Source organism: Homo sapiens, chromosome 20, assembly GCF_000001405.40.
Source record: "Homo sapiens chromosome 20, GRCh38.p14 Primary Assembly".
Classification (NCBI taxonomy): domain Eukaryota; kingdom Metazoa; phylum Chordata; class Mammalia; order Primates; family Hominidae; genus Homo; species Homo sapiens.
The window spans coordinates 38,420,557-38,444,687 of NC_000020.11; the positions used below are offsets into that span (position 1 = coordinate 38,420,557).

A 24,131-nucleotide genomic window follows, 5' to 3' on the forward strand; every position below is an offset into this window, starting at 1 on the left:
CTCACAGGTTGTCACTGATTTAAGAAGCACATGGAGCAATTCTGTAAGGTTTATTGAATGGGTGGGTAAAAAGTGAACGACAGCTACAAATTCAAAAATAAAACTCTTGGTTATTAAAGTCATTCCAGGCATGGACAGAGGGATGCGAGGCTGGCCTTCCCTGTCCACGGTCCTCTGAGGCAGCTGAAGTCTCCCATGTCTGGACCCCGAATCTTGTGCAGATTGAACAGTGGATCCGGGGTGCTCTGAGCAGGCAGCAGGGAGCAGCTCTGGTGACGCTTCATGTGGTAGCCTCACTCTCCATTCTCTGCCCCTCTCGTGCCCACAAACACCACCAAGAGATTCTGAAACAAAGGACAAGTGAGACCAGTGATTTGAGGTTCCCATCTGCATAAACACGGACCAGCTGAGCCTCTGGCTGTGGGTTCTGGCTCTTGGCATCAACTCACCACGGTGAGAAATATCAGCAAACCCAGATCCCAGATCACCAACTCCATGGTCTTAGGACTTCCTTGGACTGTCCTTGGATCTAAGGCTGAGACCTAAGAGGGTAAGAAAGCATACAAGTATTTAGTCTCCAGGGCCATCTCCTCCTCCCCAAGCTGACACCACTGAGAGGGGTCCCATTCAAGCAGGGCGAAGCTCCTCATTCACGCACACCAAATAAAAAATCCCAACAGAAAGGACATGAAAGGACAAACATCTTAGAAGTTTCGTTTTTCTTTCAAGCAGTTCACAATCGGGGCAAATGACCAGCTAGAGTAATCCACAGGAATACAGCTTTCCTAGCCCCACCTGCAACTTTCTCCATTTGTTCGACATTACTGATGGTGCCTGTGGAAACAATGTGGATTTCACATTTCATGAAGCAAAGCCCGTGATTCGCAGTTCTCACGTGTGCCCTTCACTGCTATCTGAATTCATTCCAGCGTGGGGCCCAGAGAGAAATGCAGACTGGTTTCTGGCAGGAGGATCCCTAACATGAAAAGACAAAATGAACCCTCAGAAGTCAGGGGGTGGGTCTAGTCACCACATCACATGGGCCCACAAAGGCCCAAGCTCTGAAAGCCTAGTTGGAAAAAGGCTGCAGCGTGGGAAAGCTCCAGGGTTTGAAAGGGAAGGCTGGACCAACGCAGGGAAGATGTCTTTCAGCACTCCTACCCCTGCACTGTTAATGATCGGGACACAGGCAACCCATGATCACTTTTGGATACAAGAGCAGGGAAGGACAGAAAGAGAGCCAGCAAGGGAGGGAGGCTGGTGTCAAGGGCCTGAGGCAGGGAGAGCAGCCCAGCTGAGCAGAGGCCCAGCCACGGCCACCGTGTGTCCTTCTAAGACCCCAAAAGGAGTTAAGACACTTCCAGCATTAAAAAAATGGAAACGCTTTTGGGTTGGAAAAGGTCAGGAGCATATGGTCCTAACATCATACACACACACCCTGAAAGAAAAACTCACTGCTAATCCAGATCACAGCACACTATGGACACACCAGCGCTCAAGGGAGGAGGACGGTTCCCCCGGGGAGCTCACTTTACCCACGCAGATTTCCGGAGGCTCTTCCTCTGCAACAGCCACTGAAAGCATGTGAGGGACAGCCCCACAGCAGGACAGAACGTGGAACCACGGGATACCACTTTCACCTTGCTTCCCCTACATCATCCAAGCCCCAGGAACAGCACATGACTCTGCAGGATGCAAAGAAACATATTCCAGACAACAGTCCAAAAATCCCACCTTGCGGACCCATGGTCCAGCGCCCTGCTACTATGAAGACAACACATCCCATGGAGCCTCTGCACACAGCAGACCCATCTGAAACAGACACAGAGAACACTTAACGCAGGGGCTGGCAGATCATAAGCAACCCACAAATGCCACTGTCTCTATTAGTACTTACAGCCACATTATTGTCTCAGGAACAAGAAAAACGTAACTCTAGGAAGAGGTCGGCAAACTATCTGTGAGAAAAATGGCATCTATGCTATCCTATGTGCCCACTCTGTGCTGCTTATCAGTATACATTACATAGACCCAGCTATCCCTCTTCTGGACACATACTCAATGGAGATCAAATCACACCTCATAAAGACATCTGCACTCCAATATTCACTGCGGCATTACTCCCAATCGCCAAGATACGGAAACAATCTAAGTCTCCATCAACAGATGAATGGAAAAAGAAAATGTGGCATACGCACACACACACACGCACACACAACAAAACATTATTCACCCTTAAAAAGAAGACCCTTGGCCAGGCGCGGTGGCTCACACCTGTAATCCCAGTACTTTGGGGGGCCGAGGTGGGTGGATCACTTGAGGTCAGGAGTTCAAGACCAGACTGACCAACATGGTGAAACCCCATCTCTACTAGAAATACAAAAAATTATCCAGGCGTGGTGGCATGCACCTGTAACCCCAGCTACTCGGGAGGCTGAGGCAGGAGAATCACTTGAACCTGGGAGGTGGAGGTTGCAGTGAGCTGAGATCGCACCACTGCACTCCAGCCTGGGCAACAAGAGCAAAACTCCATCTCAAAAAAAAAAAAGAAGACCCTGGGCTAGGCATGGCAGTCCATGCCTGTAATCCCAGCACTTTTGGAAGCGAAAGCAGAAGGATGGTTTAAGCCCAGGAGTTGGAGACCAGCCTGGGCAACATCGCGAAACCCCATCTATACAAAACATACAAAAATTAACCAGGCATAGTGGCATGCACCTGCAGTCCCAGCTACTCAGGGAAATGAGGTGGGAGGGTCACTTAAGCCCAGGAGACAGAGGTTGCAGTGAGCAAACACAGTTCACTGCAACCTCTGTCTCCTGGGCTTAACTTCAGCCTGGGTGACAGAGGGAGACCCTGTCTCAACCAAAAAAAAGAAAAAGATAGAGAAAGATCCTGTCATTTGCCACAACATGGATGGACCTGGAGGATATTATGTTAAATGAAATAAGCTAGACACAGACAAACAGTGCATATCTCACTTATGTGTGCAATGTTAAAAAAAAAAAAAAAAGGTCAAGCATACAAAGATAGAGAATAAAATGGTAATTACCATGGGCAGGAGCTGAAGGAAATAGGGAGATGTAGGCCAAAGGACACCAAGTAGCAGATATACAGGATGAGTAAGTCTAGAGGGCTCACGCACAACATAAGGGATTTCTGTGAAGCAGGTTTCAGCTGCTCCTCACACACACTAAAAACGGTGACTATGTGAGATAACAGACATGCTCATCGGCTTCACCATAGTAACCACTGTGCTATCTATATCTGTCCCATTATTCTATAACATCATGTTGTAAACTCAAATATAGACAATAAACATTTTAAAAACAGGTTGGGTGTGGTGGCTCACGCTTGTAATCCCAGCACTTTGGGAGGCTGTCCCAATTATTTGTATCACATAAGGCCAGGACTTCGAGACCAGCCTGGCCAACATGGTGAAACCCCATCTCTACTAAAAATACAAAAATTAGCTGGGCGTGGTGATGCACATCTTTAATCCCAGCTACTCGGAGGCTGAGGCATGAGAATCACTGAACCCAGGAGGCAGAGGCTGCAGTGAGCCGTGTTTGCACCACTGCACTCCAGCCTGGGCAACAGAGCAAGACTGGGTCTCAAAAAAAAAAAAATTAAAAAAAAAAGAAAAAAAGGATGCCAAGGCAAGAAGGCTTTTGGAGCAGGCCATGCCTGGCAGTGATCAGCACAGACCTGGGATGGGTAATGAACAGGTGGGGTGGGAGAGCCCCGCACCTACCATCTAGTGTGTAAGAGCTGCATTCATACATCTGACTATACCTATAGCATATTGTCTCCCCCGATTACTACTCTAGCCCTTGCCACCTTAATCTAAGGCCAGAAGGAAAATCCACCTCTGGTAGACCATGGACGCTCCTCACAGCCAGGACTGAAGGTGGACTGTAACAGCTGGCTTGTTCTAGGACATTTTTAACCCCAGCACTGCTCAATGGGATAAGCCTTGTCACCTTACAACAATGTGTCTTCTCATTTACTGTTTGTCCAGGTGCTACATGTCAGTTACCAGGCACCATGTGAAACAAGACAGAGGCACTGCCCTGAGGAAGCTCACAGCACAGTGGGCAGGAGAAGCAAACCAACAATTCCCAGACAGTGTGACCAGTGCTGAGAGGTGGGAAGGAGTGTGATGGGGAGGCAGAGAGAGCTTCTGGGGGGAGCTCTAGGAAGGGGTAACCACTACTGTGGCTCCAAAACTAGCTCAGAGACATAAACTCAGTGTGGCAGGTCCCTGCTTCACTGTCCTTTGACAGGAGCCTCTGAGTCCCATGCTAGGCACAAGGGACACTCAATGAACCATACAGCACCAGTGTATGGTAGATGCATGTAACAATAGCTTCTTAGGAAATGAGGGTTGCCATGTGGAGGTTACTGGGGGAAGGTGCTATATAATCTGCATGCATTTTACAAGTGGATGAGGTGCCCCCATCCAGCCCCCCACCACTAGACTGCTGACTGCCCTCAAGTTCCCCAGATAAACCCTGTTTCCTTCACTGGCTCCAGGTCTCTTCTCCGGCCTGTTGAACCTGGTGCCATCCCTAATGAGGTAAACAGGGGTCTGGCACGACAACCAGGTACCAGGAGGTAACATCACTGGTGAGAATAAAGGCATGTACGAAAGCTCCAGAGTTTGGAAGGGATAGGAGTGGACCCTTCAAACACGGGGAAGCGCTTTCATTGATTCCTCTCCCTGCACTATCAATGACCAGGGCAAAGGCAGCCCACGATCACTTTCGAATACAGGGACAAAATAGGGCAGTGAGTGAGTTGAGAGGGGAGGCACTGACAGCAGCTTAGGAAGGGCCCAAACTAAGAGACCTGGAAACAAGTCAGTGACCAGATTTGCAGCCTAGAATTGCAGCAGCTGCTTCTGATTCCCAAAGATTTCTAACATGGTTTGATTTCCCAAACTTTAGCATGAATACGAATCACCTGGAGACCATGTTAAGCCAGATTGCTGGCTCCAGATCCAAAACTTCTGATGTAGTAGGTTGGGACAGGGCTAAGAACTTGCACTTCTTACAAGTTCCCAAGTAATACTGATGGTACCTGGTTCTGGGACCACAGTTTGAGAACCACTACTCAAATGCTTCCCTCATAAGAGAATGAGATGGAAGATCAACTCTGGGTGAAATGTTGAGAATTCACTGGATTAGGAAGTCAGGGATTGTGTGATACTATCCACACGTCGGCCAGGCCTGGACTTACTATCCATAATCCCAGCACTTTGGGAAGCCAAGGTGGAAGGATTGCTTGAGCCCAGGAATTCAAAACGAGCCCAAGCAACATGGTGAGACTCCGCCTCTACAAAAAATTTCTAAAAATTAGCTGGGTGCAGCAGCACGTACCTGTGGTCCCAGCTACTCAGGAAGCTGAGGTGGAGGATCACTTGAGCCCAGGTCGAGGCTGCAGTGAGCCATCATTGCACCACTGCACTCCAGCCTGGGTGACAGAATGAGACCCTGCCTCAAAAAAAAAAAAAAAAAAAAAAAATCCATAAATCACTTCATAACAAGGATCGCCACCAAGTCCAGAGAAAACCACTAGCTAATTGCCTGCCTCCAAAATGCAGTACTCCTCCCACTTCAACAAACTATGCCAATCCACACTAGGATGACTCAGAGCCCAAGGGGAGCTCTGTAAGCCCCACCGTGATTCACACAGTGGAGTCGCAGAGTTCGAGGAAAAGAGGGTGTCACATGTCCCTGTGGGCCTCAGTGGAAGAGCAAGCAATGGGAAGCAGCCTCTGCCTCCCCTCTAGTGACCTCAAAGCCTTCGTCCTTGCGGCCTGAACACCAGTGCATTCTCTAGAGAAGCACCCAGGATTCATACCTTACAAGCACCGCAGCTCAGCCTCTTCTTGAAGACACGTCACCTGGGGCCACTGGGCACACAGGACAGAGGTCAGCTGACAATCCTGCAATGACAAGAAGCCACACATATCACTTCTTATAACACATTCCACTATCCAACATGTTCAACAGGAAAAAGCGACCTCTCAATCGGGGTGGGATGGGCTAGACGGCGGCTGCATCAGTGACTTCCCCTTGGTCCTCCCTCTCTAGCTTTATTCCTGATCTTACAACTCCACCCATTCCTCCAGGGGCAACCTGAGAACCAGTCATCCTCAGGGGAGCCCCAAAGGCCAGCACAAAAGGCAGAGGAATTAAGAGCTGGAATGGTGGCCAGTGAGTGACACCAATGCACACCTCAGAGGGTCGAGAGAACAGGCGAAACTCTTGGGTGGGAAGTGAGGGAAGTGTTTTGCCTCTCAGAACCCGGCTGTGCTCCCCTTGCAGCAATGAGCACTTTCTCTTTCTTACGACAAACCCTTCAGGACCCCCTATTCCAGGCCAATGACATGTAAAGATGTAAAGATGCTACCCTATCCTGTCCCCAAGTTACACATACACACACACACACACACACACACACACACACACACACGGGGTCAGCCCTGCTCACCCCAACCTCAAAGTCTCCCTCATGTTTATATGCCAATATTGCACTTATTCGAAACTGTGCTATCCACTGCGACACACCATGACTCATTACATATCACATTCCCTTCCTGATCTACCCCTCAGAACACAGAGCCTGGTTTCTGCAAAGAGAGGTCAAGCTGAGAAAGACTTAAGCATGATGCCCCCCCGCACTGACTTTCATGTGGCAGCCAAGCAAGCGCCGGACTCCTCAAGGGCTGGCAGGAGAGCAACAGGAGTTGTGTGAAAGCTTCAGGGTTCGGATGGGATAGGGTGGACCCTCCAAACACGGGGACAACCTCTTTCAGCGTTCCTCTCCCTGCACTATCAATGACCTAGGCACAGGCAGCCTATGATCACTTTCGGATGCAGGAGCAGAAACAGACAGGAGAGCCAGGAAGGGCAGGAGGATGGTGCCAGGGCCTGTGGGATGACCCAAGTCAGGGACAGTACAAGACTCCTGCAGCTGCCATCTGTCCTGTAAAATCCCATAAAACCTAACCACCAAGGGGAATCAAAGGGGAAACACCTCTGACAAAAGCCCTGGAAAAATCTGGGGACTAGAGAGCAGGATCATGGGGTCACGTCTGTAAAAATCAATTATGCCCTACCTTTGTTTTCTGTATCAGGAAATTGAGATTCAAAACAGGTCAGATGGCCCTTGGCTGGCATCTGGGAACTTGGCTCTCGGGATGTTCCTAGTCAACAGTTTACTGATCAGAACCGTTCACTGGACACAGTCTCTCCGTGCAAATAATGTGGCACAGGCACCTGTTTTCCTGAAAGTCTGGAATTTTGGTGCGTGCTAGGCAGGTGGTGTCTACATAACCAGATCCCAGTAAACACCCCGGGCATGGAGGCCCTACTGGGCTTCCCTGGGCAGAAACACTGCACACAGGCTGAATGCATTTTCACTGCTGAGGGGAGAATGGGTTCCATGTGATTTCTGAGAGAGGGAGGGAGCATGAGGAAGCTGGCACAGGGATTCCTCCAGACTCAACCTGCATCTTTTTTCCTGAATCATTTGGCTGTGTACCCCTACAATGTTGCTAGGTTAAATCTTAACCATTGATTACAACTGGAAAGAAATCCAGCCACTTTCCATTATGACATGCTGCTAATGCACTGCAGGAAAAGCCCCCAGCGCTCGCCCCAGGCAGCTCCCTGCAGGGGCCTCCTCCTCCACAGCCCCTGAAGGCACAGAAGGAGGGGCCAGCTCCAATCCAGCTTTCCCAGGGAAGAGGAGTCTGGATCTGGGAATCCATAGGACATGGCTCCTCTTCTCATCCTCACCTCTCCCTACGTCACCACCAAAGCACCAGAAAAAAAGGGGACGTGACTTTACAGGGTGCAAAAAGCCAAAATTCCAGAGATGGACAAGAAACCTTACCTCGGGCCCTGCGGTCTGCCACTCTCCTGCAACACCTCTCACTAAGCATCTCTACAGTGTTGCATAGATGCTGACTAAACCGTTCTTCTCACCTGAACAGCCATGACTTCTTTTAGGAATGAAATAGCAGCTTATCTCTAAGAAAGGGGCTAGAGAACTTCTAAGGCAGGGATGATATCCGCTTCATCTGTCAGGCCAACTGTTACTAAGTTCAAGAGGATGCTGGGGCCATGATGATCTTGGGATGTGCTGTTTCTCCAGCAGCGTCCAGCAAGCAGCTGGGGAGGTCGTGGGGAAGCCGTGCAGAGGCTGCTGCCGTAAATCCCTCAGTGATCTTCTCCCCTGCCTGTCTCTGGTCCTTGATTCCTTTCCCACAAGCTGGAGGGAAAATCCTCCCCATACAAGGGAAATCCTCCCCATACAAGGCTGGAGGGAAATCCTCCCCATACAAGGCCAAGGCCAACAGAAATGAGTTACCTCAGAATCCTGTGAAGGGGTGGAAAACACCAAATCTGCTCCCACCAATCCCACACAGGTGCTGACTCAGTATTTTTCTCCAACACCCCAAAATGTAATGAACCCGATCTCCTTACAGTGGAGGGACTCTCCCTTTCTCGTTTTTCTTTCTTGAGACAGGGTCTCACTCTGTTGCCCAGGCTGAGTGCAGTGGCATGGTCATGGCTCACTGCAGCCTTGTCCTCCCGGGCTCAAGAGAGCCTCCTGCCTCAGCCTCCTGAGAAGCTAGGACTACAGGGGCATGCACCGCCATGCCTGGCTAATTTTTTAGTTCTTATAGAGGCGGGGTTGCCCAGGCTGCCGTTTTTCCTTTGTCCCACACTGTCAGAATACTGACCATCTGGCAGACATAACAAAGTAGGGAACAAAATTCAGACACTGCCCTTGAGACCACAGCAAAGAGAGCCAGGAAACAAGTCAGGCAACAATTTCCACAGGTTCAGCTTGGTGCAGGGGCTGGATAAGGACGTGGAAGGAGAGGTGTGGAGGCAGAGAAAGCTTCCGGGAGGAAGGAGCAGGGCAGCCCTATCTCAGCTCCACACCCAGCCCTTCTGCTCCATGAGGCCAAACCCATCACCCCACACCCTTCCCTCATGTCTCACAATAACTGCCCTGGGCCAGGGAGAAGAGCAACACAACCCACTAGATGATGCCAGGCACCAGGAGCCATCTAAGACGTGGTGGGAGGGAGGAGGTGTGGGAAAGCTCCAGGGTTTGGAAGAGACAGGAGTGGACCCTCCAAACACGGGGAAGTGCTCTCGGCAGTTCCTCTCCCTGCACTACCAATGACCAGGGCACGGGCAGCTCATGATCACTTTCGAATGCAGGGGCAGAAAGGGCAGAGGGCAAGCCCAGAAAGGAGGCCAATGCTGGCATTCCGGGCAATGGTCTCACCTGGAACAGAACAGCTGACAGGGCAATGAGCAGACTTACAGCCTAAGATTACAGATGCTGCTTCTGACTCCCAGAGATCACTTACCACTCCCTGCCAGAAGCAGAAAGGAAGGCAAACATGGGCAGAAATATTGAGAATCCTGGGGCTCTTCTCAAAGACTGGGCTGGCCGGGTGCAGTGGCTCACGCCTGTAATCCCAGCACTTTGGGAGGCTGAGGCAGGTGGATCATCTGAGGTCAGGAGCTTGAGACCAGCCTGTCCAACATGGTGAAACCCCATCTCTACTAAAGATACAAAAAAACATTAGCCAGGCATGGTGGCAGGCACCTGTAATCCCAGCTACTCGGGAGGATGAGGCAGGAGAATCATTTGAACCCGGGAAGTGGAGGTTGCAGTGAGTCAGGATCACGCCATTGCACTCCAGCCTGGGCAACAGAGACTCCGTCTCAAAAGAAAATAAAAATAAAAATAAAAAAATAGGCCGGGCACAGTGGCTCACACCTGTAATCACAGCACTTTGGGAGGCCAAGGCGGGTGGATTGCCAGAGGTCAGGAGTTCGCGATCAGCCTGGCCAACACCATCTCTACTAAAAATAGAAAAAATTAGCTGGACATGGTGGCGGGCACCTGTAATCCCAGCTACTCAGGAGACTGAGGCAGGGAGAATCACTTGAACCCGGGAGGCAGAGGTTGCAGTGAGCTGAGATCATGCCATTGCACTCTAGCCTGGGCGACAGAGCAAGACTCTGTCTCAAAAAATAAATAAATAAATAAATAACAGACTGGGCTGGAGGGTATCAATATTGGCTATCTGTTCCACTGAGGCTTACATAAGACTGCTCAGCCGGGCACTGGGTATGAATCCAGGCTTGAATCTGAAACGCAGCCCCTCTGTCCATTCCAACACATGGTTTTCCTCTCAACATGACAGGGTCTTTGTCAGGGACTCTCAGAGCCCCAATCAAGCTCAGGGAGCACCTTCTTGGCAGCAGCCCCACGAAGGCAGAAGAGGGCCCAGGCCTGTCCCTGCCTGCTGAAGGAGCAAAGACAGGAGCAAAGGGAAGCAGCCTTCACCGGTGTCCTCACTCCCCACTCCTCAGCACCCAACCACCTCTGGCCTCACAACCTGCAGAGAACTTGAGCTCTAGAGGACTGAGCAGGACCCCACTTACCTGGGACCTCAGGATCCATGCTCTCCCAGAGGACGCCTCTCACACACATGGGGCGGCAGTCATGTGACACTCCTGCAGGGCACAAGAAGCCAAGATGTGACTGATGCACTTGGCACTGCTTATGGCAAGTCCAGGAAACCACGATATTCACCCACAGAAAACACACCAGGGGAATCAGTGTCTCAGGAGGTGAATGTACTGACAGCTTGTCTAGCCCATCCTGGTCACTGACACAGTCCCCTGAGGTCATCCCGTCTGAAATGGACAATGGTGCCTCTACACAAGAGGAAAACCTTGTAACTTTTCCTTTATTACCAATAACCAAGACACAAGCAGCCTGTAATCACTTTGCACACAGGGGCAGAAAGAGATCCAGGGCTTGTTGAAATTGGAGACCAACGTCAGAAGCCTGAAAAATGGCCTGAGCCAGGACAGTGGCACAGCAGAGCACAGGATGAAGCAGCTTCCATCTTGTCCCACATAAACGGAACCTGCCCCAACCAGGAGAAGTAAAGGAAAGACCCTCCAGATGAGAAAGCTGGCAGACTTCTTCGGACGTGGAAGATAGGGACGGTGTGATCCTAAGAAAAATCACCTCAGCGTACTCCTGTTTTCCAGACGAGAAAACTGAAGATCACAAAAAGAACCAAAGCTAGGGAGTAGTGGTAAAGCGTTTGGGACCAAGGTACAGGTAGGTTTGATGCCAAAGCCCTCCAGCTTTTGAGTCAGATATTCCAAGACACAACAATGATAAGGGATCCCTAAAGATGCTAAACCCAAGCAGGCACAAGAGGAACCCAATGTATTCATGATGGCCCCAAAGAGGGTAAAACTGGGGCCAGCACAAAGACACTCTTACCTCACCTCTCTCTACTTCCCAGACATCACGCCCAGGGAACCTGCATGCACCCACCCTTGTGGGACACAAAGCCCCAGATCTCCAGAGGACAGACCTCATAGAACACCATGGTCCACCTGCTTCCTGGCAGGGTGGAGATACCTCTCATGGGCCTCTCTGCACCAATCAGCCTCCTCTGCCAGAATCAAGAAGCCCTGGATGAGCTATCTAGACATCACCTGGTCAAACCCGTTCTGGAAAGGACAAGGAGAGTACTGGCACAGAAGCCACCAGGTGGTAAACATTTCCTAAAAGTTGGCTAGTGTTAACAGTGGTCTACGGTCTCAGCAACACGAAGAGTTCATCTAGAGAAGAACCAGTCATCAGGGACAGCTTAAGTCTCATCTTATGCACATATTGTTGAATTTGTGATCCTGAAGCAGTACACTGAAGGGGACTCTGAACCTAGGACAGGTTCTGGTGTGGCACACCAGCGTGGCGCAGTCTAGCATACACAGTAAGGGCTATGATGGGCAGGATGGCCCATCTGTCATCTGCGGGTCAGGGCTGATTACACATCTCACTCTTCTATCAGCCATGCCTAGCTATACCTCTGGCTTTGGTCGCTGACATCACAATGACAATCCTGTGGGGAAATTAATCCTGGTGGCCCACGGACAAGACCGTCAAAGAGAACACCATGGGATGACCACTGGGCCAGTGGGAAATAGCTCTGACCACCCCCACACAGGCTGCCTTGCTCAAAACTACTTCCCTGACATGCATCAATGTGCTAAGCCCTGTCACCTTACAACTGAAGTCTTTTTTGTTGTTGTTGTTTAAAGACAAGGTCTGGCTCTGCAGCCCAGGCTGGAATGCAGTAGCACAATCTCGGCTCACTGCAACCTCCACCTCCTGGCGCATGCCACCACACCTGGCTAGTGTGTGTGTGTTGTAGACAGGTTTTTGCCATATTGCCCAGGTTGGTCTTAAACTCCTGGGCTCAAGCGATCCACCCACCTCAGTCTCCCAAAGTGCTAGGATTACAGGTGTGAGCCACCACGACCAGCCACAGTTGTCTTTTTCCAGCTCCTGTTTTTTGTTTTTTGTTAGGGACATAGTCTCACTCTGTCGCCTAGGCTGGAGTGCAGGGGCATGATCTTGGCTCACTGCAACCTCCACCTCCCAGGTTCAAGCGATTCTGGTGTGCCTCAGCCTCCTGAGTAGCTGGAATTATAGGCGTGTGCCACCACACCTAGGTAATTTTTGTATTTTTTAGTAGAGATGGGGTTTCACCATGTTGGCCAGGATGGTCTTGAACTCCTGGCCTCAAGTGATCCACACTCCTTGGCCTCTCAGAGTGCTGGGATTACAGGTGTGAGCCATTGCACCCGGCCCATCTCCTGTTTTTCATTTGTTCCATAACTGCTGAAAATCAACCATCTACCAAGCACCAGGTAAGTCAAGAGACAGGACTCAGATACTGAGACAGGCGAAGTGGCTCACACCTGTAATTCCAGCACTTTGGAAGACTGAGGGAAAATCACTTGAAGCCAGGAGTTCAGGACCAGCCTGGGCAACATAGCGAGACCCTGTCTGTCCCAGCTATTTGGGAGGCTGAGGTGCGAGGATCACTTGAGTACAGGAGTTCAAGCTATGATCACGCCACTGCACACTGCACCTCAGCCTGGACAACAGAGTGAGATCCTGTCTCTAAAAAAATACAATAAAATATTAAACAAAACTCAAGACACTGTCCTCAAGGTCACAATAGAGAGAGGCAAAGACAATCAAGCCAGTAATTGCCACAGGGTGTGACTAGTGGGGGCTGCAGCTGTGGTTTCACCACCAATCCTGAGGCAGGGACTCACCCCTCATAGACCCTGGTGAACGCCTCATGGAACCCTGCACTGAGCCTTGCACAGGGAGCACTCACTAATAAGACACCAAGTGCCAGGAGGCATTTGAAAGATGGTGAGAAGGAGGTGTGAGAAAGCTCCAGAGTTTGAAAGGGACAGGAGCGGACCCTCCAAACACGGGGAAGCACTTTCCGCGATTTCTCTCCCTGCACTATCAATGACCAGGGCACAGGCAGCCCACGATCACTTTCGAATACAGGTGCAAAAAAGGGCAGGTGAGCCCACGTCAGCGTGTTAGCTGCCAGATCTCCAGAGGGAGGCTCACCCCCCAGGGAAGAGAAGGGTACCCAGGACCCTGAGAGCCATCATCACTTCACAGGCAGATTCCATCTGTCCCCACCCAGAGTCCACAGGAAAACAGACTTCTGGTAAAAATGCCTCGGCTGTACATTCAGCCCACCAGTTCTGAGTATCTACACGTGGACAGGCACCGTGGGTTCAAAATCAAGAAAAACAGCCAAGGCCTCTGCCCTCAGAGAGCCTTTGCAGTTTCCCTACTTTACAGAAAGTCAACCTCAGGGGAATGAAGGAACTTAGCTAGCATGTGACCCCAAGCGCAGCCCGTCTCCTAAGTCACGCTTTGCTCTGCACCCGCTTTGCCAGACAGTTCTCAGAACTCAGAACTGGCTGAGCTCATTGACTGTCCCCTCTACTGCGTCCCACAGAAGGGTCCTTCCCCAAGGTGCGCAGAAGCAGCGGCACTTACCCAGGGGCATTCTCACCCCGCGGACAGTGGAAGCCCCTCAGGGGGTGCAGATCAGAGTGCTGCAGGAGAGAGAGGGCGCTGGCTGGTGCGAAGCCGTCCGAGGTGCAGCACAGCCCACAAGGCCTAGGCAAGGAAAAAGCACGGGGAGGGGGCTTTAGTACAAGGCCCGGGGACAGAAGTCCAGACTCTGCCCCACTGGAGTGCTGGCAGCGTCTTCCATTTAAACCACAGCTAACTGGTCTGTAAAATGAAGGTTCTAACACCTACTTTTAAAAGTTATTGAGGGGAAAACGAGTTAACGGTCTCAAGGACGTGGCACAATGACTGGCACTTTGTAGGCAACAGTCAAGTGGCTTTGGAGGCTTCCAATGCCAGGAGTCGGGGGCGGGCAGCTAAAGTCGCCGAGCCCTGTTTCCCGCCATCCAGGGGCACTAAGCCTCCCCGCAGAGTAGCTGCGCGGACAGGGGGTCTGACGACCGCACGTGGCCCGCTCAGCACTGCCGCGGCCAAGGGCGCGACTCACCTGCCAGTGTCTTTCCCGAGGACACGCGAATCCTGGGGGGCTCACTCCGGCAAAGAGGACGAGACACTGCACCAAGGACAGGGCCTGACCTCTCTGGCCGCCTTCCCCGGGGCCTCAGTTTCCCCCGATGGTGAGAGTGGAGCCGACCATGCGCCCTGCTGTGGACTCACCCGGCGCCCTGGCGTCGAGTGGCGGCGGAGACCTGACAGACAGCGTGGGAAAAATCAAGATGTCTGCAGATTTCGAGAGATGGGGTGCGGTGGCGTGCGATGGCGAAGGACGGCGAGGGACGGCGAAGGACTGAGGCCACACGACAAGGAAGCTACGCTCGTTTCGCGCCGGCGGAAATACAGACGAGAGCGCGAGCTGCGGCCTAGAGCGGTAGGAACCGACGCGAGCAGTCCTGCAGCGTCCCCTGGCGGAGCGGAGGCTCAACGCCAGACTCTGGAGGACTTGGGATAATTTTCGAAAACTATCTGGAAGTTTAGAAGTAAACTTCTCCCACTTGCTTTGCTTTTCTGTTTGTTCTGAAGATGTTCCTTGGTCACTGATTCATTATTAATCTGTAGGAATGGCCAATTTTCCATGATAGGAGCTGTTACTACGATGAGGGGACTGTGCTTAGTTTGGACTTCTTTCTGCAAGGGTCCAAAGGCATCTGTCTTTGATTCACCACTGTACTCAGTACCTAGTTCAGTGACTAGCACAGTTGAATGAATGAATTCTACCCCCGCCCCATTCCTTTTTTTCTGAACAATGTCAGACCGAGATGACTGAGTCATGGCCTGAGACTGGAATGTGAGCGTGAGAAGATGAGCCAAGAGAGATGCACAGCGGGTAACTGCTTTGCTAAACTCCAGCCTCAAAGTACACGGGATGGAGGGTGGAAAGAGTCTCTGAAGCAGAAGAGACCTGACCAGACTGGCATCTGAGGAACCTGATCAGATTTGCACAGTGACAGAGACTGTAGACAGATGTCCCATGTTCCCTGCAACATACTGGAGACAATCTTGGGAGGGGACTCATGGCCCACAAATCCTCATAAGCATTGGCACTGCCTGCACCCTGGGCAGGATGTGCCTCTTCGGCCTGAGACAGCCCTGCTACTGACTCTGCCCATGTTCTGGAGTGCAAGCAGCCCACCCTTGGGCCTGATGAGGAGCCCACGCCCCACCCTCCGCCCCGCTCCAGTCAGATTCTTGGTACTCAATAGGTCAGAAGGACAAGAAAATCCAGTCCTGATCTATGCAACCATGAGGGAAATGGGGGTCCCTGAGGTGAGATCTGCTCCATATTTTGTACCTGGGAGAGGCCCATGGGATTCCCAGACTGTGAGAACACTGGGAGTCTCTGTGATGGGGAGGGGCTGTGGGATGCTGCTATGGTTTGGCTGTGACCCCACCTAAATCTCATCTGGAACTGTACTTCCCATAATTCCCACCTGTCGTGGGAGGTAATGGAATCATGGGGGTGGTTACCCCCATGCTGCGGTTCTTCTGATAGTGAGTGAGTTCTCATGAGACCTGATGGTTTTATAAGGGGCTTTACCCACTTTTGCTCTATACTTCTCCTTGCTGCCACCATGTGAAGAAAGACATGTTTGCTTCCACTTCCGCCATGATTGTAAGTTTCCTGAGGCCTCCACAGCCATGCTGAACTGTGAGTCAATTAAACCTCTTTCCTTCATGAATTACCCAGTCTCAGGCAGTTCTTTATAACAGTGTGAGGATGGACTAATACAGATGCTGTGGCTGAGAGGACACTGGGCAGGGTGGTCAGGTGTGCCCACTTGTGGCCACACAGCCCTGGTGTCCTCTTCTGCCTCCCACTCTTGCTGTTACTCTCCATGTGACTTTGGCTAAGTGACCTAACTTCTCCGCCCCGCCTCAGTTTCCAGTTATGGAAAATAGGCAGTCATAGTTCCCTGCTCATAGCGTTGCTGTGAGAATTAAATGGAATGATTTATATCAAGACCGTAGCACAGAACAAATATCCAAGGCCTAGTAGTTGCTATATTATAGTATTTCTGAGAAAGCTGAGGGCTTCTGTCACCGTAAGGACTCTGGGATTCTTTATGAAGCAGAGGAAATGTGCTGTGTTTGAAAAGTCTAAGATGGCATTGTCAGCCCGGTGTGATGGAGCAGTCCTGTAGTCCCAGCTACTCAGGAGGCTGAGGCAGGAGAATCACTTGAGCCTGGGAGGTTGAGGCTGCAGTAAGCTGAGATCACACCACTGCATTCCAGGTTGACAGAACGAGACCCTGTCTCAAAAAAGAAAAAGAAGAAGAAAGATAGCATTGTCCAATAGAAATATAACACAAGGCCGGGCATGGTGGCTCACGCCTGTAATCGCAGCACTTTGGGAGGCTGAGGCAGGTGGATCACCTGAGGCTGGGAGTTCCAGACCAGTCTGACCAACATGGAGAAACCCCGCCTCTACTAAAAATACAAAATTAGTAGGGCATGGTGGCACATGCCTGTAATCCCAGCTACTTGGGAGGCTGAGGCGGGAGAATCGCTTGAACCCGGGAGGCGGAGGTTGCGTTGAGCCGAGATCTCGCCATTGCACTCCAGCCTGGGCAACAAGAGCGAAACTCCATCTCAAAAAAAAAAAAAAAAAAAGATAAAAAGTAAAAGTAAAATTAATTTTAATAATTTAACTGAATATAACCAAAATATTATCATGTCAGCATGTAATCAATATTTTATAATTATTCATGAGCTATTTACTATTCTTTTTCTTGTATGAGATCTTTGGAATCTGGTGTGTGATTTACATTTATGGTACATTACAATTCCGACTGGCCACGTTTCCAGTGCTCTGTAGTCACATGTGGCTGGTTGCTGCTGTGCTCCCCAGCACAGATATAAGGCAATCTGGCTCTCATCAGCCCTTTGGAGCTGGAAGAGACACAGCAAACAGTAGGCTGAGTGCATCCACAACCCACACCCACCTCCGCCGCCCTACCTATGAGCCTGAAAGGGCTTGGCCTCCTGCATATTCAGATTGAGGCCTCACCAGGCTGAATCTTCTGGGCTGGCAATTAAGGCCAAGGTGCCCTCAGAAAGCTGGGAACGGGCAGAACTGCAGATTTTCTGTAGTTCCAGATTTTCTTTTGCACTCCTTATTCTCATAACACTAAGGAGGGCACCTTGGCGGGTTCATTCCTGCAGCCCCAGTGCCTATAGGAGGATGGACACCTAAGAGGAGTGGTTCATGCTTGTTCCACGGTAGTGGAACAGGATGTTAAATTAGCCGGGCGTGGTGGCGGGCGCCTGTAGTCCCAGCTATTCGGGAGGCTGAGGCAGGAGAATGGTGTGAACCCGGGAAGCAGAGCTTACAGTGAGCCAAGATGACACCACTGCACTCCAGCCTGGGTGAGAGAGCGAGACTCCGTCTCAAAAAACAAACAAAAAAAAGGAAGTTTCAGCTGACAAATGACAAGGTCAGGAGTTCGAGACCAGCCTGGCCAACATGGTGAAACCCCATCTCTACTAAAAAATACAAAAATTAGCCAGGCATGGTGGTGGGTGCCTGTAATCCCAGCTACTCGGGAGGCTGAGGCACGAGAATCACTTGATCCCAGGAGGCGGAGGTTGCAGTGAGCTGAGATCACACCATTGCACTGTAGCCTGACTGACAAGAGTGAAACTCCATCAAGAAAGAAAGGAAGGAAGGAAGGAAGGAAGGAAGGAAGGAAGGAAGGAAGGAAGGAAGGAATTGAAAATCCAATAAAATTGCTGTTGTGATAAGCAAAAATTGATTTGAGTATTGGCAGTTTTTGAAGTTTCCGTGATAAAATAGCAGCTGCCTTCCAAAGAAGGTGCTGGACCAAATGCAGAACTGAGGAAGGAGATAACCGAAACATCGTTGCTTGTGACTCTTGAATCTTCTCTTCCAATTGGAGGGTAGTAATGGTACAGTATTAGAAATGAAAAAGAAGGCGAATGATGAATTGTATTTCTTATGAAAAAGCAAGAGCTGTGAGTCTCACCCCCTGCCCCCAAAAGGGAGAGACAGGGAGGGAGCCCGTGCATCTCACCTTAACTCATTAAGAAGCACTTTAGCAGGTCACAAGGGAGCTTGACATTTGTCACTCAAAGTTGGGGAGCACAGGTGACTGGGGCCCAACCCACTCCTGAGTCAAAGGTTCATAGTCTCTTTCTGTAGGAGTAGAATCTGTGGTATGAATGTCTGCCTGGGACCCAGGAGGTCCCATCCATGAGGGAACCTGCTAGGGTGAGGGAATTCCAAGAAGAGGGTCTGTGCACACATCAGTAGGGATGCAACAGGCAACAGGAGGAGTCTCTCTGAAGAGCCCATGAGAAAGGCCACAAGATCAACCTCTGAGAAGCCTGGGATTGATAGGGAAGGCCACAAGAGAAATAATCAGGATTAAACATCTCCCTAGCTTGGAGAGGGCGCGGGCTTCTTACAAAAGCAACAGACAAGAGACGTCTCCCCGCTCCTTACCCTTTACTCTACCTGTTTTTATCCTGGAAGTATTGAGAGTGGGTAAGTGGACAGAAAATTCCTGTTGAAGAGAAACATATCTGGATACATGAAGAGAGAAGCCCCACGTCCCTACCCCAGCCTATCCCGTACTTAGCCCCAGCTGGTGGAGAGAAGTCTTACCTATGGAAGATCATTGAAAACATAGTAATGCGTTAGACTGAACATTTAAACTTGTTGAATGGATTCAGCAGATCCTTAACTAATCCTGGTGGGGTTTTTTTATTCTTTTTTGAGACAGATTCTTGCTCTGTCGCCCAGGCTTGAGTGCAGTGGTGTGATCTCGGCTTACTGCAACCTCCGCCTCCTGGGTTCAAGTGATTCTCCTGCCTCAGCCTCCCGGGTAGCTGGGATTACAGGCATGTGCCACCACGCCTGGCTAATTTTTGTATTTTTAGTAGAGATGGGGTTTCACCATGTTGGTCAGGCTGGTCTCAAACTCCTGACCTCGTGATCCACCCACCTTGGCCTCCCAAAGTGCTGGGATTACAGGCGTGAGCCACCACGCCTAGCCTTTTTTTTTTTTTTTTTTTTTTTGAGACTGAGTCTGGCTCTGTCGCCCAGGCTAGAGTGCAGTGGTGCGATCTCGGCTCACTGCAACCTCCCACTCCCAGGTTCAAGCAATTCTCCTGCCTCAGCCTCCTGAGTAGCTGAGATTACAGGCGTGCGCCACCAAGCCCGGCTAATTTTTTTGTATTTCTAGTAGAGATGGGATTTCACCATATCGGCCAGGCTGGTCTCAAACTCCGACCTTGTAATCCACCCGCCTTGGCCTCCCAAAGTGCTAGGATTACAGGCATGAGCCACCGTGCCTGACCCTACTGGTGTATTATTAAAAAATAATAAAATAAAATTGTTGAATGGAAACTGTGTTTTCCATTTTTAGTGATTGCAAGACTTTTTATTACCTAAGAATGATCAGAGAAATTCTAAGGCTTTTGCCTTATATTTTTCTAGGGGCAGGGGAGAGACGCTCCCACTTAGCAAGTCTAAGCAGACATATCAGGAGTCCTGCTTTCAACATACTCGTTGCAAAGGATTGGACTGTAGCTGGGAAGACAAGGTTCCACCACAGGAAGTCTGTGACCTCATAGTGGCTGAGAAATCCCTGGGGCCTGGAGCCCCTTCACCAGAAGAGATGGAATCATGGCTGGCTGGACAGCTTCTTCCAAGGAGTTGGTGCCCGGAGTCTAGGTGGGAAGTCAGCAACTGACCATGCAAGGCCTGCAGGAGCTCCAGACCCATCTCCACACCAAGAGTGACCACCGTGCTGCAGATTTTGTTGTATCTGTCCATTCTCCTCCTCGGCTTCTTACTGCTCCTCTGTTACTGCGTCTTTCAGTAGCCCATTTGGGTGATGAGCACTCTCTGGGGGTGCTATGGGGGCATCTTTGGAGCTTGGCAGCAGTGTGCTGTGATAGAAAACAGGTAGATGGGCTGGGCGAGGTGGCTCACACCTGTAATCCCAGCACTGGGGGAGGCCAAGGCAGGCAGATCACTTGAGGTCAGGAGTTTGTGACCAGCCTGACAAACATGGTGAAATCCCATCTCTACTAAAATAGAAAAATTAGCCGAGCGTAGTGGTGGGTGCCTGTAATCCCAGCTACTCGGGAAGCTGAGGCATGAGAATCGCTTGAACCCAGGAGGCAGAGGTTATGGCAAGCCGAGATTGTGTCACTTCACTCCAGCCTGGGCAATAGAGCGAGACTTTGTCTCAAAAAATAAAATAAAATGAATAATAAAAGTAAATTAAATTAAAAATGAAAATAATAAAAGTAAATTAAATTTAAAAATAAAACAAAATATAAAATAAAATAAAAATGATGGAGCATCAGAGACGCTTGGGTCCCAATCTCCTCTGCCACAATCTAGCTCTGTGCCCTATTCTTTTTTTTTTTTTTTTTTTTTTTTTGAGACAGAATCTCGCTCTGTTGCCCAGGCTGGAGTGTAGTGGTGCAATCTTGGCTCACTGCAAGCTCTGCCTCCCGGGTTCACGCCATTCTCCTGCCTCAGCCTCCCGAGTAGCTGGGACTACAGGCGCCCACGACCACGCCCGGCTAATGTTTTTGTATTTTTAGTAGAGACAGGGTTTCACCATGTTAGCCAGGATGGTCTTGATCTCGTGACCTCGTGACCCGCCCATCTCGGCCTCCCAAAGTGCTGGGATTACAGGCTTGAGCCACCGCGTCCAGCCACTCTGTGCCCTATTCTTAACCTCAATTTACTCACCCCAAAAACAAAGCTGTGAGAGAAAGGAATTTCTACTATTGTTGTTGTTATTGTTCTTATAACTACAATCCTGATCTTTTCCAAAGCCAAGATATTTCCCTCTCTTTTACCAGAAGTGTGTTCCCTTTAATTCCCCAGCAAGGAAATTTTACAGGGTTTGGAGAACAGGGTGGCCGTTGCTGGGCTCTGTGCTCACTGGGCTGCTCTTTCCCATGCTGGCCGTTGGCATCTGCCTCCCGCGCTGTCTCATGCTGTGCTCTCTTTCTGTGTCTGCATTTGAAAGTGATCATCAGCTAGCCTGTGTCTTCGTCATCGATAGTACAGGCCGGTGAACTGCGCAAAGCATTTTCTGCATTTGGAGGGTCCATCTCTATCCTTGGAAATGCTAGTGCTTTTCTCACATTCGACTTCTCTTCTGTGAACACTCTCAAGCCTCTGGGGCATTGTGGGCTGTCATTTTGTTTGGCCTTTCTCAGCTTGACTTCTTGGCAAAAATTAGGCTGTGTATATCTGGGACTATTTGTTGCCCAGGACAAGATTAACTACTCAAGGGATGGCTGAGGCTCACAGAGCATGAGCCCTGCACAGAAGAGGTAACATTTCACCAGCCAGGTGAACTGTACGGAAATTAACAATTGAGTGTATGAATACATACAACATTGAGTATAGATCGTGATTATGATAGGATTTAAAGAAAGATGGCTTCTTGGAGATGGTGTGCTTTGGTGGTTTTCTGTTTGTTTGTTTTTGTTTTTTGAGACATGGTCTTGCTCTGTTGCCCAGGCTGGAATGCAGTGGCACGATCAGAGCTCACTGCAGCCTCAACCTGCTGGGCTCAAGCGATCCTCCTGCCTCAGCCTCCCAAGTAGCTGGGACTACAAGCACATGTCATCACACCTGGCTAATTAAGAAAATTTTTTTTGTAGAGATGAGGTCTCACTATGTTGTCCAGGCTGGTCTCCAACTCCTGGGCTCAAACGATCCTCCCACCTCAACCTCCCAAAGTGCTAAGATTGAAAGTGTGAGTCATCGTGCTTGGACCTTGGTGGGTTTTTCTTTTTTTGGAGACAAGGTCTTGCTATGCTTCTCTGGCCTCAGGGGACCCTTCTGCCTTAGACTCCCTGGTAGCTGGGACTACAGGTACACACCAATGCATCTGGCTCTTGGTGGATTTTTGAAGTACTCAAATAGGAGTCCTTTAAAGTTGCAATGGGAAGGCTCTTAAGGGTCAGGGGGAGAAAGAGGAAGACTCTGAAGCTGAAGAGGAGGAAGGGATGGGAAGTGGACACCTGTGCTGGTATGTGGATAAGTTAGGAACCGGAGGGGGCAGTATCCCCCCATCTCATTGCATGGCCTGTAATAGATGATCTTTAAATGTTGATGCAAAAGAAGAAAGGGAAATGCTCATTGTGGCAACAGGAGAGGGCTCACTTAATTCTGAAATGTAAGAAAAATTACTTGTGTCCCAGTCTGCTCTTGGCTCTGAGGGCTTAAAAAAAATGAAAAAAGGCTGGGCGTGGTGGCTCATGCCTGTAATCCCAGCACTTTGGGAGGCTGAGGCAGGTGGATCACTTGAGGTCAGGAGTTTGAGACTAGACTGGCCAAGATGGTGAAACCCCGTCTCTACTAAAAATACAAAAATTAGCCAGGCATGGTGGTGGGCGCCTCTCATCCCAGCTACTTGGGAGGCTGAGGCAGGAGAATTGCTTGAACCCAGGAGGTGGAGGTTGCAGTGAGCGCACTACTGAACTTTAGCCTGGTCAACAGAGCAAGACTCCATCTCAAAAAAAAAAAGAAAGAAAGAAAAAGAAAAAAAAGAAAAAAGCAGGACAACTTAACTGATTCGAATAAAATAAAATTAGGGCCAGGCATGATGGCTCACACCTACAATCTCAGCACTTTGGGAGGCTGAGGCAGGTGGATCATTTGAGGTTAGGAGTTCAAGACCAGTCTGGCCAACAGGGTGAAACCCTGTCTCTACTAAAAATACAAAAATTATCTGGGTGTGATGGCGTGTGCCTGTAATCCCAGCTAATCGGGAGGCTGAGGCAGGAGAATTGCTTGAACTCGGGAGACGGAGGTTGCAGTGAGCTGAGATCACACCACTGCACTCCAGCCTGGGTGACAGAGCGAGACTTTGACTCAAAAAACAAAACAAAACAAATAAATTAATGAAATAACAAAAGCAGAAAACGAGCATAGGGCCAGGCCTGGTGGCTCATGCCTGTAATCCCAGCATGAAAGTACATCAATAGGAAATGTATGTCAGTGTTGTGGAACAACATCTCAAAAACCCTTGGAGGATGTTATGGACTGAATATGAGACCAAGGCAAGAGGATCGTTTGAGACCAGGAGTTGAAGACCAGCCTGGACAACATAGTATGACCCCATCTCTACAAATTTTTTTTTTTTAATTAGCGGGGCCTGGTGGCATGCGCCTGTAGTCCCAGCTACTCAGGAGGCTGAGACAGGAGGATCGCTTGAGCCTAGGAGGTCAAGGCTGCAGTGAGCCATAATTGCACCACTGCACTGCAAGCTGGATAACAGAGCAAGACCCTGTTTCAAAAAAAAAAAAAAATTGGCAGGCTTCAGTTGGAAAGTCTTGGCCTCAGTGCCCTTGAAGGGCAGGAGTAGTGCTTCTGCCTTGTGAATGCCTTCTGACCCCACCAATGGGGAGAGGTGGACACGAGAGCTGGGCAGATGGAAATCAGTTGTATCTTTATCAATGGTGACAGCTGGATGTGACCACCTGCAGGCTCCCTGACACCTGCTCCTCCTTCCTTTACCTCTGTTGCAGCCCACCCTCCAACCCCTACCACATACACTGCCATGCTGGATAGTGCCTGCCGGGTGAGCTTACTCAGGAAGGAGTGGGGACTCAGCCAAGGATCCCATGAACAAGCAAAGCACAGACACCCT

The 24,131-nt window shown here is 50.1% G+C and overlaps 1 protein-coding gene, 1 long non-coding RNA gene and 6 other non-coding genes across 74 annotated transcripts, besides 5 other annotated features; 2 read left to right on the forward strand and 6 right to left on the reverse strand.

The window, feature by feature from the left end:
- Nucleotides 1-31: 31 nt before the first annotated feature.
- SNHG17 (small nucleolar RNA host gene 17) lies at nt 32-14,772 on the reverse strand. 67 transcript variants are annotated; one of them, NR_185950.1, is made up of 9 exons: nt 14,641-14,772; nt 13,948-14,070; nt 10,485-10,556; nt 5,863-5,947; nt 5,379-5,492; nt 3,050-3,203; nt 1,531-1,685; nt 450-542; nt 32-344 (listed from the first exon to the last, which is right to left on the reverse strand). It is a non-coding gene; the product is annotated as a small nucleolar RNA host gene 17 (long non-coding RNA). The 67 variants fall into 67 exon arrangements; NR_185963.1 differs by lacking the exon at nt 3,050-3,203 and adding an exon at nt 7,124-7,210 and having other exon boundaries at nt 1,536-1,685; NR_185936.1 differs by lacking the exon at nt 3,050-3,203 and adding an exon at nt 7,124-7,210.
- On the reverse strand, nt 1,091-1,218 carry LOC124904974 (small nucleolar RNA SNORA71). Its single transcript, XR_007067761.1, has one exon. It is a non-coding gene; the product is annotated as a small nucleolar RNA SNORA71 (small nucleolar RNA).
- On the reverse strand, nt 4,639-4,774 carry SNORA71B (small nucleolar RNA, H/ACA box 71B). Its single transcript, NR_002910.2, has one exon. It is a non-coding gene; the product is annotated as a small nucleolar RNA, H/ACA box 71B (small nucleolar RNA).
- Nucleotides 5,485-5,784: an enhancer, noted in NCBI's record as "tiled region #13566; K562 Activating DNase matched - State 14:Gen5'". NCBI's record gives its function as "activates a minimal TATA promoter and a strong SV40 promoter by Sharpr-MPRA in K562 cells {active_cell/tissue: K562}" and the evidence as "EXISTENCE:reporter gene assay evidence [ECO:0000049][PMID:27701403]".
- On the reverse strand, nt 6,750-6,887 carry SNORA71A (small nucleolar RNA, H/ACA box 71A). The gene has a single exon (NR_002911.1). It is a non-coding gene; the product is annotated as a small nucleolar RNA, H/ACA box 71A (small nucleolar RNA).
- Nucleotides 9,111-9,248, reverse strand: SNORA71C (small nucleolar RNA, H/ACA box 71C). Its single transcript, NR_003017.2, has one exon. It is a non-coding gene; the product is annotated as a small nucleolar RNA, H/ACA box 71C (small nucleolar RNA).
- Nucleotides 9,907-10,407: an enhancer, noted in NCBI's record as "H3K4me1 hESC enhancer chr20:37059106-37059606 (GRCh37/hg19 assembly coordinates)". NCBI's record gives its function as "activates a minimal SCP1, AML or CMV promoter by ChIP-STARR-seq in naive H9 embryonic stem cells {active_cell/tissue: H9 hESC(naive)}" and the evidence as "EXISTENCE:reporter gene assay evidence [ECO:0000049][PMID:30033119]".
- Nucleotides 10,237-16,160, forward strand: LOC124904958 (uncharacterized). The gene is made up of 3 exons (XM_047440636.1): nt 10,237-10,388; nt 13,907-14,049; nt 14,286-16,160. The coding sequence occupies exons 1-3, from the start codon at nt 10,237-10,239 to the stop codon at nt 14,930-14,932; spliced, it is 942 nt and encodes a 313-aa protein (XP_047296592.1). The 3' UTR covers nt 14,933-16,160.
- Nucleotides 13,165-13,244: an enhancer, noted in NCBI's record as "active region_17856". NCBI's record gives its function as "activates an Ori minimal core promoter by ATAC-STARR-seq in GM12878 lymphoblastoid cells {active_cell/tissue: GM12878}" and the evidence as "EXISTENCE:reporter gene assay evidence [ECO:0000049][PMID:35858748]".
- Nucleotides 13,306-13,443, reverse strand: SNORA71D (small nucleolar RNA, H/ACA box 71D). Its single transcript, NR_003018.2, is given in 1 exon segment — nt 13,306-13,443. It is a non-coding gene; the product is annotated as a small nucleolar RNA, H/ACA box 71D (small nucleolar RNA).
- Nucleotides 14,525-14,814: an enhancer, noted in NCBI's record as "active region_17857". NCBI's record gives its function as "activates an Ori minimal core promoter by ATAC-STARR-seq in GM12878 lymphoblastoid cells {active_cell/tissue: GM12878}" and the evidence as "EXISTENCE:reporter gene assay evidence [ECO:0000049][PMID:35858748]".
- Nucleotides 14,835-14,894: an enhancer, noted in NCBI's record as "active region_17858". NCBI's record gives its function as "activates an Ori minimal core promoter by ATAC-STARR-seq in GM12878 lymphoblastoid cells {active_cell/tissue: GM12878}" and the evidence as "EXISTENCE:reporter gene assay evidence [ECO:0000049][PMID:35858748]".
- Nucleotides 16,161-21,479: 5,319 nt separating the features above from the next.
- LOC124904975 (small nucleolar RNA SNORA71) lies at nt 21,480-21,613 on the forward strand. Its single transcript, XR_007067762.1, has one exon. It is a non-coding gene; the product is annotated as a small nucleolar RNA SNORA71 (small nucleolar RNA).
- Nucleotides 21,614-24,131: the final 2,518 nt, after the last annotated feature.